The following is a 13,761-nucleotide window of genomic DNA, read 5'->3' on the forward strand; positions in this document are numbered from 1 at the left end:
TGGGACTACAGGCGCCCGCCACCATGCCCGGCTAATTTTTTTTTATTTTTAGTAGAGACCAGGTTTCACCGTGTTAGCCAAGATGGTCTCGATCTCCTGACCTCGTGATCCGTCCGCCTCGGCCTCCCAAAGAGCTGGGATTACAGGCGTGAGTCACCGCGCCCGGCCCAGTTCTGTTTTTTAAAGTGTCACTATTATTATTTAATAGGATCATAATTTGGAGGAAGAGTTGTAGTCTTCAGGAGACATTCTTGAAGATCTTAATTGGGCCATCAAGAAGCATTAACATTGTGTAGGCAAATATGATTGGGAGGTTGTCAATAGCATTTCAAATTAGGGTAGACATACACATAATACTAGTTATTATAACCTGGGTGACAGTAAAGAAACTGAATTTTATGGATAGGATAGGAAAGAAACTGGGGGAAATAAGTGTGAGAAGAATTTGTGAATTAAATGATATTGGTAACAATTGCAGTAGTTAAGAGTGAGCTCTTAGAAGTTGTTGCTGAATCTGAAAGTAAGAAAACTATCCATCAAATCTCCATACATTAAATCAAGGCTAAGTAATTGGGCAAAAGAACAAACAATTCTGCCTCTGCTTACTTTGAAAAGGATAATCTCTATTATTATCATTTATGGGATACACTATGCACGAAAGTTCTCTGGTCAGCTCCGATAACATTTTTGCTTTTATTCATTTCAAATATTTAGGAAAATTATTTTTTCATTTCTGTTCCTTTCCTTTTCCTTCCCTTCCCTTCCCTCCTCTCCTCTCTCCTCCTCTACATTCCCTTCCTCTTCTTTCCTTTCTTTCCTTCTTTTTCTTTTTCTTTCTTTCTTTTTTTTTTTTTTTTGAGACAGGGTCTCCCTCTGTCACCCAGCCTAGAGTGCAGTGGCATGATCATGGCTCACTGCAGCCTCAACCTCCCAAGCTCAAGCAATTTTCGCACCTCAGCCTCCCATGTATTTGGGACCACATGCATGTACCACCACACCAAGCTAATATTTATTTATTTATTTAATATTTATTTTGTAAAAATGATGTCTCACTATGTTGCCCGAGCTGTTCTCAAACTCTTGGACTCAAGCTATCCTCCGCCTTGGTCTCCCAAAGTGCTGGGATTACAGGAGTCAACCATTGCACCCAGCCAGGAAAATTTTCTAATCAGGGAGGAGGAACAGAAATTTCTGAGAATAGAGCCAATGAATATTTTATGGCTGATTTTTTTGTATTGCTGTGTGTTGGTTTCATTCTATTTCCACATCCCATTTTTATTCTGAGTTGGTGGCAGACAGCTGTGTCTAACTTTAGGGCATGAGCATTATGTTGAAAGATCATGTGTAATTCACTGTTGTATTAAGTATGTAAACTATTTGTAACTCATAATAATAACGATGCTAATAATTATTATTTTCATGTCAATGTTCTAGCATGTAATTTATACATAATAGTCTTTCTCTTTTAGTGCCTCGTACTTCATCTAATTATAGGGCTTTTCATCAACAGGCTCCTGGCAATGAAAATTATCTTCATAATTGTCCCATACCCAAACTTCTGCCTATATATGTTAGATGTTGTCTCCTTTAACACGTTCTACCATATATATTTTATCAGGGTCATTTGTGGGGGAAAAAAATTAAACATTTTTCTTTTTTTTCTTTCTTTTTTTTCTTTTCTTTCTTTCTTTCTTTTTTTTTTTTTGAGATGTCGTCTTGCTCTGTTGCCCAGGCTGGAAGGCAATGGTGCGATTTCTGCTCACTGCAACCTCTGCCTCCCAGGTTCAAGTGATTCTTCCATCTCGACCCTCCAAGTAGCTGGGATTACAGGCACCTGCCATCATGCTCAGCTAATTTTTGTATTTTTAGCAGAGATAGGGTTTCACCATGTTAGCCAGGCTGAACTTGAACTCGTGACCTCAGGTGATCTACCTGCCTCAGCCTCCCAAAGTGCTGGGATTACAGGTATGAGCATTTTTAAATGAATTGTTAATCATTTGAATATGCCAGCAACTAAGAACAATCAAATCAAGTGTGAGTTTGTAGACTGATAGATATATGAGGACTCACAGCTGAATGCTAACCATTGTAATTTGAGAAACTTTTCAGAAATTTGGAAGTTATGTTGCATGTATTAGTAAAGGTTCCCCAGCAAAACAGAAACAATAGGATATATATATATATATTCTTATTTGATGTAAAACATTAGCTCACATGATTATGGAGACTGACAAGTCGTAAGGTCTGTAGGTTGAGTTGGCAAACTGAAGACCCGGAGAGCCTGTGGTATAGTTTCATTTCAATCCCAAAGGCCTTAAAACTTATGGAACTGATGGTGTAATTCCCATACAGGGGCTGGCAGGCTTGAGATCCAGAAAGAGCTAGTGTTTCTGTTTGAGTCCAAAGGCAAGATAAAAGCCCATGTCTTAGTTCAAAGGAATTGGGCAGGAGAAGGCTCTCTTACTTGGGGTGGAGTAGGGTGGGGGTGGGAAGGGGGTGTGTGGGTCAGCTGTTTTGTTCTCTTTAGGCCTTCCATTGAGTGGATGATGCTTACGTGCATTAGGGATGGCAATCTGCTTTATTCTATCACTTGAGTGTTAATTTCATCTACCAACACCCTCACGCAAACATCCAGAATAATGTTTCACTAAATATGTGATGACTTCATGGCTTAGTAAAGTTGACAAATAAAATTATCCATCATACTGTGTTCGGAATTAATACTAGAAATGGTTACTGCACTAATAATTAATTAAGAAAGAAAATTTTGATGCATGACACATAACGAGCTGCAAACCTAGATACGGTGATAGATAAATTAATCATCTTACAATTCCACTAAGTGCTAGAATAAGAATTTTTAGACTTTTCCATTTGTATGGTATTCGGTATACCTTTGGCCATCTATTACAGAAAATCAGGTTGAACTTTATATACTGCATATGGGCACTCTTATGTACATGTTATGTTGGTAGACAGTGACTATCAGACATGACCCCCACAGGATGCTACCAATGAAGTCACTAGCATGGGAGGGTACTGGAGGCCCATGCTACCCTTAGACCTGGGCAGCAGGTCCTGAATATCACATAAACAGCCAATCTTAAAACACACATTTTTAGTTTCCTAAGAAATTTTTTTGAAAGGTAACAACTGAGCAAAATGAAGTTACCACTGAGGAAAACCTGAGCCAAGGTAGCTAGAAGATAAGGTGCAGAGCAAGGTGAGGACTAACAGCTTCTGTCTAGGTTTTGTCTCTGGTTGCCTCTCCAAATTCTCCCAGACAGATCACTTTTCCCAGATCACTGTAGTTTCTTCCTTTTTCTGCTTACATGAAATAGTTTTGAAAGCATGTATAATTGCCTGGAAATTCTGAATTGGAAAAAGGCAATATGAGGGAGAAGCACTTGACTGATCTAATGCCATGGGTAGCTTGAACTGTCAGTTCTCATCTAAGTTTTAGGCAGGTCCAGTCACTGCCTGAGCTGGGATCTGCATTCACTCTTTTCCGTGCTCTATCGAGGGGATCCACAGAAACACTTGGTAGTATGGCTGACACAGGGGAGGCATCAATATCATTATACGCCCATTACCAATGAAATTTCTGGCCCTTCATGGAAACAGAAGCTGGAACAAGGGCTTAATTTGTAACTTTTAAATATTTAGACTTATGATGTGTAGGTTTACATTTGCACTGTTGGCCTGTGCTTTGATGCTCAAGGCAGTATGAGACAGTGTGGCTTATGCAGAGTCAGAAAAATCATTGAGGAGACAAGTTTTTTGCACCGTATTATTGAAGCGGGTATGGGAATTGCAGAAATAATTGTAAAGTCAGAGGGCAGAAGAGCTTAAAAGGGAAATATGCAAGAGGATAAGAAGTGAGTTAGAGGGATTTGAGGGCTGATCAAAGAATGAAATGAAGGTGCCAGCGCAAGGAATGTGATTATGTAAAGACCATTGATTGGCCAGGTGGCCCTGAGTCCCTGAATGCAGCTTCCCTTTGAAACCGCAAGACTGCCATGCATTGGCTATACACCAAGTCTAATGTGAGAAGGGTAACTTTCTTCCATGAGGCCTGCTAGATAAAGCCTTTGCATATAGCCAGGACAGAAAAATAACAGACAGTTTATTAACCTGGAGTTAGACTCAATATACAGGCAGGCTGGATTTTTTTTTTCAGGATTTTTTTTTTTCAGGCAGTGATATGTGATTTTTATAAGCGGGTATTGGTTAGCAAAAGCAATGTAAAGTCAATCCAAATAAAAGCAGTGATCTTAGAGGTCCATGGACTTGGCCCATGAAAACTACTGACATACCTCAGCAATATTGCTGATTCAGTTCAAACCACAACAATAAAGTGAGTATCATGGTGAAAGTAGTCACACTTTTTTTTCTGGTTTCTTAGTGCATATAAGTGTTATGTTTATACCATACTGTAGTCCATGAACTGTGCAATCGCATTATGTCTAAGAAAACAATTTGCATACCTACATTAAAAGTACTTTACTGCTAAAACTGCTAACAGTCATCTGAGTGAGTTGTAAACTTTTTGCTGATAGAGGGTCTTGCTTCAACGATAACTGCTGACTGATCAGGTTAGTGCTAAAGGTTAGGGTGGCTGTGACAATTTCTTAAAATAAGACAACAGTGAAGTTTGATGCATTAATTTAGTCTTTCTTTTATGAAAGATTTATCTGTAGCATGCAAGGCTGTTTGATACTATTTTACTCACAGTAAAACTTCCTTCAAAATGGACTTCCTTCTCAAACCCTGCTGCTGCTTTATTAACTAAATTTATGTAATATTCTAAACCCTCTGTTTTTATTTCAACAATGTTTGCAGCATCTTTGTCAGGAGTAGATTCCATTTCAAGACACCAATTTTTTGTTCATTCATAAGAAGTGACTCCTCATTCATTCAAGTCTTGTCATTAGCTTGCTGCAGTTCAGCAACATCTTCAGGCTCTACCCCTAGCTATCTTGCTATTTCTCTCACATCTGCAGTTACTAGCTCCACTGAAGTATTGAACCACTCAGGTATACTTGACAAAATTTATAAATATGTGTTATATAACCTGATGTTTTGATATATATATACACTTTGAAATGATTACCACAATCAAGCTAATTAACCTATCCATCACTCACAGTGTCTTTTTAAAATTAATACACGGTAATTATACATAATTATCAGTTACACGTATTACTTTGACCAGAGCATTCTGTTACAATGTGTGTGGCCCTAACTACATTTTCAATCTCAATTTTTATATTCCCTTTCGTTACTGTTTATGTTCTAACTCTAAGTCCAAGAAGATTTTATGGTTGTTTTATTACAAAACAATTACAAAGTGTTTTTTACACTTTTAGATGTTCTGCTCCTGAGAAAAAAAAAGATAGTAGTAGATGTTTAAATCATAATGCATTATACTCAATTGGTTTTTGCAGCTGAAAAACAGTCAAGAACACATTGGACATCAAATCTGTAAACTTGCAATCTAATTAATTACATGTAACTTCACTGAGCTTCTGATTCTATTAATAAAATAAGTTCAATAGCATGTTTAAGGTCATCTGGTTTAAAATAACAGATGTGAGATTCAAAACCGGATTGGATCACCCAGACACAACTATGAAAATGTGTTCCAGGTAAACTTTAGTGAGCTCTACAAAATTTATTTTTCCTACCTTGGAGAAACTGATCACATATAGGACTGTCTTTGAAGAATGTCTTATGTGTTCATCAGTTTATTTCTTGTTTTCATTATGTTAACAATTTTGAGGAGCGACCAAGCAAAGCTAAAATTGAGATTTGCAATTCTAAAGCTCCATGACACTGATGAGATACTGTCTTTGACCTACTATCCTAATTAACAGTAATTAGGATAGTAAGAGATTTGTCATAAAATGTAAAGAAGAAATGAATTGCTTAATATTTTCCTAGCCCACTGGTTGGCTTATGTTGTCTATTATATGTATATTAAGTTTTGACTTTGCATAAAATTTTAAGAAACTCTCAAAGACATGTATTTTACTCTTCCAGTTCTAAAACAAGAACATATAATCTGTCGATTCTTTTTTTTTCACAAATAAAATGTACACTAAGTATTATGTTATGGGTAGACAGTTTTGGGTTTGTGTAGAGGGAATGTGGAGTGAGAACAAGTTAACTGAGAAAGTGGAGAGCCATTTTCCCTATTCTTTTTTTTTTCTCTTATTTTGGTTTATAAGAATTGAGTTTATTGTGAATATTTCATGACGCTTGTTTCTGTGTTTTCATACAGTATATGTATATCTCTAAGATGTAAACTGAATTGGATTTCCACTGTCCCTACTAAACATACCACACACACACACAGACACACACACACACACACACACACACTCACACACATAATTTCTCTCCTGGGACAATTTATTAAAGTCTAATTGAGCATCATAAAAGTACAGGAATTACCTTGAATTTTTAAAAAATAGGCTGAATATGGGGAAAGTGTTATTACTGTATTTGGGTCTGAATATTCTTAAAAAATACTCTTCAGAATTTTGGAAATAGCACTGAGAGAGAAAAAATTTTATTTAAATATATGGAATTAGTGTTGAGGTTGAGAATATATATCAAAAAATTGGACTGACAAGTAGATAGCAGCTTGTTGTTAAAGGGACAATTAGTTATTTGGTCTAAACAATTATCTCCATGAATAGGTGCCAAACCTCATATACAAACCACCAACACACCCTCTTTTTGGTATTCCATGATAGCTGTTAATGCAAGTTGGGTCATGGTCTAAGGAAAATCAAAACCTACATAAAGCAATGGATTTCTCACGTATCTAGTCTTTTAATTTTAACTAGTTGCCTGTTTGGCTGATTGTTGGAGAGTCAGCTTTTATTTTTTAGAATGTTGAAAAAAATATCACTTCTAGCATCTCTAAATTCAATGAGCAAGTCAGTCATTCATATATCTACAAATGGAAAATTAATATTTTGCTGGTTTGTGTTTTCAATGTATAATTCCCATCATTTACAGAAAGCTTGTGGCCGTGTTCAAGTTTTCCAGGACCACACTATTTGCAACTTACTATTTTGGCAGGGTAGATTATTTGATGATATATTTGGATGTAAATTCATATTTAAATATAATCAATTCCTAAATATATACTCATGGGCAAGTAAAGAAATATCTTTGAAATGTCTGATGGGCACCCATACTTTTTTCTTTCTTTTGCCTTTAGCCACAACCTTCAAAATACCCTTCCAATTTTTTTTTCTGAGAAGATACTGGATTAGAAAGATATATCAAGAAGATATAAGAAATCAAGTTAGAATTTAATTAGTGGGGTCACGTATCTGAGCTTCCTTAGGTCAGAGAAGGTATATACTAGGGGAAAGGAGTGATTATAAAACAAAACAACAAAAAAAAAACCATAAGTGAAGTGAGAGTTTATTTTTAATCAGGATGAGGAATAAATAGTGGGTCAGAGAAAATAAAAATAATTTTATTTCTATTAAAAAAATAGGACCTACATATTATCTTCCTGTATATGTACAATGCCACCGTGATGGAGTAGAATAGCAGCACTATTCATAATGCCTTTCCTATGATTATTGATATCACAGGAGCTCTTACAAAGTAGAATGGGTCTTCTCCCTTTGTAGTTATAGTTAACTACTTAGACTAGAATATATTTCACTAGAATCAATAACACCTGTAAGTATCAACATAACTATGCGATGTTCTCTCCTATTTACCAGTCCTATAATTATGGAAGTGTTAAGATATGAGCTTCAGTTTTCTAAATTGCACAAACAGGAAAGTAATGTATGCGCTCTTTGTCTTACATTGATAATTTGGAGATCAGATGTAGCAACATATTTGAAATACTTGGAAAAATTAAAAAAAATTACAATTAAATATCATTGCTACAGAATATATTGAGAGATTAAAAAAAATCTGAAATTTCCATGTTAGTATCTTTATTTCTTGAGGTCAACTCCTGAAGCTTCTAAAATGAATTGCATATTGTATCTTTTGTCTTCTGTATGGAAGCCTTCTCTTTCTTTGTTCTTTACTCCTTTTTTATTATGCTTTTAACAGAAGCAAAATAGTATTACAATAGAAATGAAATTGGCAAATTATGCCCTGACATGTAAATGTGTCCCAGTCCCTTTTTTGGTTCTGTTTGGGAACTAATAATGATTTTTACATTTTAAACTGATTAAAAATTTTAAAATAATACTTTATGTCACATGAAAAGTATATGGAACTCAAATTGTATTTTTCATAAATAAAATTTAATTGGGACACAGCCATGCTCCTTCCTTGATGTATTGTCTATGGCTGTTTTCTTGCTATAGCAACAGAGTTTAATAGCTGCAACAGTCTCCATTCATTGTTTTCACCACTGGTAGGCAAACCAAAACTTGCAGTGACACAATTATGCCTGGACAGCATTTGGGGTGTCATATTTATCATTGTACTCCGACTTTTTTATGTTTGTTTATACTAGTACATACTCAACAAGAAAACTTAAGTTTGAGTGTTGTGTTTTTAAGTCATGGTATGACAATTTTTTGGTTACTGAATTAGAAGACAGTTATGTTTATTTTACAATGGCACTCTAATGGTATAAAAAGAACATAATGCACATTGACATTGTCAGAATATACCATGCACATACACACATGCTTATCACAGTAATCCCATCTTACAAGAAGACAATAATCAGAAAAGTTGAAAATTGAAAATGGAATATCTCATCGTGGAAGAATTTCTTCACACACAAAAAATTCTAATAGTCAAGCAGTAAGCAAATAAATATTTTGAGTGGCTTACTTGTAAGACAAATGAGAAAAATTCTTTATTAGTAGTGAATCAACTGAATTACATGTGATTGCAGCAGCTGAACAAATGTAGCTTAAGCTTAAGATAAAAAACTTATTTAAGACTGCAAGCTCTTTAGAGAGAGCAGCTACATAAAGAGAACATTGAGTGTGATATCCATAATCAATTAAAAAAACAAGGCAAATATTTTTATTAGTTTTCCTTGGCTCTTGATAGGTTTACAAATTTTACTAATACTGTTTTTGTTTTTGTTGTTGTTGTTGTTTAACAGATGCGTCACTGTCAACTTGAAAGTGACTGAAGAGTTAAAGTCTATAAATAGATTGTTTGAAACAAGTACAAGAGGCAGTGTTTTCCAAGCGACTAAGACTTAATTCTGTACAACCCAAAGCAGAATCTGCTAAGATGTGTTAGAACTCATGGTGGTAAAAATTATACATAAAGCAGATAAATAATTAGTTGGGAAAATTTACAAAGCTTGTGATAGCAAAGGGTGTTTATAGTATCCATTAATTCATTTTATTATTCTTTAGCAGGTACTTGTCAGAAAAATATTTTATACTATCATATACAATTTAACTAGAAGTTTATTGATGAATTTGATTTATTTTCCTGGAGTTAACTATTGCCAGGTATGTGAGTTAGAAATATACGTGAAGTAACTTGACTTTTTCTACCACATCAAAATCTGATGGTTTAGCTGTGGTAAAGTATTACTGGGATTTTATTTTTATTTTTATTTTTTTAGCTCAGGACTAAGACTGACATTGTTTTCTGAATGGAAGAACCATCCTTAATTACTATTAGAATATATTTAGTGGCTTTAGTGATTATTTTTATGCAGAATAGGTAATGCTGCTCAGTGAAATTCAGTGTAAAATTAAAGGGTAAAATAGTATTTCTACGTGAAACTGATATTGCAGTAATGTCATTTTGATGACAACTAACATTATTTGTATTTTAAGTGACATCAACCTTTTAAAAACATTTCCCATGTGGTCAAATGATAAAATAAAAAAATACATCACCGTTTCAACACAAATTTCTAGTATTTATATTTTATTACATTTTCAGAGGATATTTCAGAATCCACTGAACTGTACAATTGAGGAGGTCTACCTAAACTTCAACTGAAAGTGACTACTTGGTAATGCAATGACGTGATTAGAGATAAATGTCAAAGAAATTATCTAATAGACTTCCATAAATGCATTCCAAGGAATAAATATTCTCAATAAAAATATGAGCTTATGAGGCTGGGAGCAGTTGCTCATGCCTGTAATCCCAGCAATTTTGGAGGCTGAGGCAGGTGGATCATGAGGTCAAGAGATCGAGACCATCCTGGCCAACATAGTGAAACCCCATCTCTACTAAAAATACAAAAATTAGCAGGGCATGGTGGCACGTGCCTGTAGTCCCAGCTACTTGGGAGGCTGAGGCAGGGGAATCCCTTGAACTGGAAGGCGGAGGTTGCAGTGAGCCAAGATCATGCCACTGCACTCCAGCCTGGTGACAGAGCAAGACTCTGTCTCAGAAAAGAAAAAAAAAAAAAGAGCTCATGTAATATCAGTAGCACATAGTACATATTTGTGTGAAAATATTTTCAAAGATAAGATACATGAAATCTCATTTCTTATCAGCATTAACTTATGAAGTATTTCAGTCACTTGTACTGATAGGGAATACTAACTTTGAGATACAATCAAGCAACTATTAACCTTTACCCCCTCCAAAAGTTTCATTTTGCTAATACACGGTACATAAACCTGTACTATGATGAATTAAATTCAATTATTATTTATTTACATAAAATAATTATGTACTTATTAATTTTATTTTATATATTTATATTATTTTATTTTATTATTTATTTATTTATTATTTATTTATGTAAAATAAAATAGAAATGATATCTTATACGAAAGTATGTGTAAGAGGTTTATCTCTTGTTATACAAATTTTTACATAATATGCCAATTTTGCCTTGTGGCCTACATAGCCTAAAAGATTTACTATCTGGTCCTTTTTGGAAAAAGTTTGCTTATCCCTGGTATTGAAGATTTAGAAGTTAATGTGAACATATCTTTGCAGTTTTTATGACAGTATTAACATTGCATTATTATAAAAGTAGTACGATCATTGGGGGAGTATTAAGGGCTGGAGAGTGAAAATTGTAAAGCATTGTCTCCTTCCTTTCATCTGCTTTTCCAATGCAGATGGTACATACTCTTTGAATATGATTGATGAGCCGGGGAAGCCTCTTGCTAGCAGCTCTTGCTTCTGCTCACTACATACATAAGGTAAGAACATAAGCGTGCACAAACACAAAATGTTTTTTTTCTGTTGCTTACTTCTCTCAGAGGCAGAATGGTAAGTTGATATGAGGTTTTCTCTCAGATATTTTATTTTGTTTGCTTGTATTAGGAGCATCTGCTCACTTGGCCCCTGAGAATTCACAAAGTCTAATATTTATTGTTCAGTGTTGGCTGCTAGGAGATTTGGACTTGACAATAGAGAAAATATATATTTTTGCAGAAGTTCATCAAATAATAAGCTAGTAATTTTATTGTGCCTTTGTTGTTGAAACATACCATATATTTTTAAGCACTCAAAAAATTAAGCTTTTTTTCTTCCCTACCTCAGATTTATTTGTACAAATAGGACAGAGGACACCAGCTCCATGCAGAAGACAGCCCAGGCGTCACATCAGTTCTTCTGTCCTCACACAGGCAGGCAGAGGACTCTACCTCAGAGACAGGGTTTTGAACTGGAGCTGGGAAGTGAGGCAAAAGACCAAGCCACAGCTTGGGTCCTGGTTTGAGCCTTTGGCCACAAGAGCCTGAGACCTTTGGTGATGAGGGCACACTTCCTGAGCCTCAGGTAGGCAATACAAAGAAGTTGATTGGGCTTCAAGCTGATCCCCTTTGGGGTATTGGGCTTGATTTTCTTTGGCTTTGTGAAGACCTTGATACCCTCGACACATGAACTCATAGCCTTGGTATTGTTGGCCTGCATTTTCTTCAGGTCTTGATTAATGTGCCTCTTGGAAAACTACATGTTTCTCAGAAATTTGGGGTCCACCCACTTAAGAAATTCATATCTTTGTGACTGAGTTTTCTTAATACAATCTCTGTACCATTTTGGGGACTGGTTTTATGTGGTATGGTTCTTGAACTTGGCCATGAATACATCATAACCCACCTGATTCAAGTATTCTTTAACAGCTTGATCATAATATTGATTTTATCTAAAAAAAACTGTATTATATTTGTTATTTCTAACATTTATAGTTGGTTTCCTAGGGGTTCTATGGAGACTAACCTTTTACAAATGACAAGAATCCTGTTAATATGTCATTTATATCTTCATAAAGTTGCTGAAATTATCACAAAGCTCTTCAATATTGAAATCGTTTTTTAAAATATTAAATTAACAAGGAGATGGGGGAATAATGTTATGTTACTTTAATTTAACTGATATTTTTACTTTATTTCCATTGTAAAAGAAGTGAGTGTTTCCGCTTCTTGTTCCATTACTAACTAAGCCAGAAGCAAAAAAATGATGCTGTTTCCTCAGCCTCATCAGATAGCCTCACACACTTTGAGTTAATATGCCTACAATTAGCTTCACATCATATTATTTTTAGTAACTCTTAGAAGATCTCCCAAACACCCAGATTATTGTTTTATCATTATGATTATAGTTTTCCACTATAAGTTAAAATACAGAAGATATGTTAATGGGTATAAAGCATGCAGTACTTCTACTGCATACCAGATCAGAAATCCACTATTTATCACAGACAGCAAAGTCTATGACAAGTTACAGGCTACTATGATGCAAGAACTCTGAGGCTATAAAGATGCATATTTCTTCTACTTAAATGCATTATTTTCCACTTATGAATACAAAACAAGACAAAACCTAAAGTGCATTTAGCTACTCTTTTAGAGATTGTCATGGCATAGAAAATTTATATTCCAGACTTATTTTTGACCTTGATCATTTGAGTTTTATTTCTTCTAAATTTTATTATGAATAAAGTCACAATACCAAAGAAAATAATCCCCAGAAATAATCAAAATTGGATAAGATTTAATAACACAAAAATTAATAAGACCATAGTGATATTTGGAAGTAACCATTCAGTAAGATAAGGATAATACATTAATAGACAAAATAGCCTTAAGATTTGTGCACTGGGAATTCTACATTAAAACATGCATGAGGAGTTGCAAAGCCATCTCCCTAAAAAAATTTACTGTATGATTCAGTTCTAGTATTTTGTTCTTAAATATGAAAATTCATTAAAATGTCTTAATAAACAAGCCCTTCAATTTTTAGAACAGATGTTTACATGCATGCTTCGCTACATTGTGAGTAATATGACAAATGCAATTATCTTTCAAAATGTTGAAATGTTTGCTATGCCAAAATATAAGCATACAATAAGGATTTCCTGAATTTACAAATTGTTTTCTCATCTGCATATGATCATGTATATTTTTTCACATCACCTAGTGTGTTCTGTGCCTCTTATAAAATAAGCATGTTAAAAGACACTCCCACCAGCACCATGAGAGTTTATAGATGTGATGGCAACATCAGGAAGTTATCCTATAGGGTCTAGAAAGAGGAGAAACCCTCCATTCCAGGAATTGCCCACCCCTTCCCAAAAACTCAGGAATAATCCAACCCTCATTCACAATATAATCAAGAAATAACCATAAAAATGGGCAACCAGCAGCCCTCAGGGAGGCTATGTCTATGGAGTAGCCATTTTTTTTATTCCTTTACTATCCTAATAAACTTGTTTTCACTTTACTCTATAGACTCGCCATGAATTCTTTCTTGTGGGAGATCCAAGAAGCCTCTTTTGGGATCTGGATTGGAAACCCTTTCTAATAACAATATTAG

The 13,761-nt window shown here is 34.8% G+C and overlaps 1 long non-coding RNA gene and 1 pseudogene across 1 annotated transcript in view; one reads left to right on the forward strand and one right to left on the reverse strand.

Moving 5' to 3' along the window:
* LINC00373 (long intergenic non-protein coding RNA 373) overlaps nucleotides 1-11,140 on the forward strand; it is a 93,216-nt gene extending 82,076 nt beyond the window's left edge. Inside the window, exons 4-5 of the long non-coding RNA NR_131919.1 lie at nucleotides 9,381-9,476; nucleotides 11,061-11,140. This is a non-coding gene — a long non-coding RNA (long intergenic non-protein coding RNA 373). The remainder of the gene's footprint in view (nucleotides 1-9,380; nucleotides 9,477-11,060) is intronic.
* On the reverse strand, nucleotides 11,620-12,027 carry RPL29P29 (ribosomal protein L29 pseudogene 29; annotated as a pseudogene).

Source organism: Homo sapiens, chromosome 13 (genome assembly GCF_000001405.40).
Source record: "Homo sapiens chromosome 13, GRCh38.p14 Primary Assembly".
NCBI lineage: Eukaryota > Metazoa > Chordata > Mammalia > Primates > Hominidae > Homo > Homo sapiens.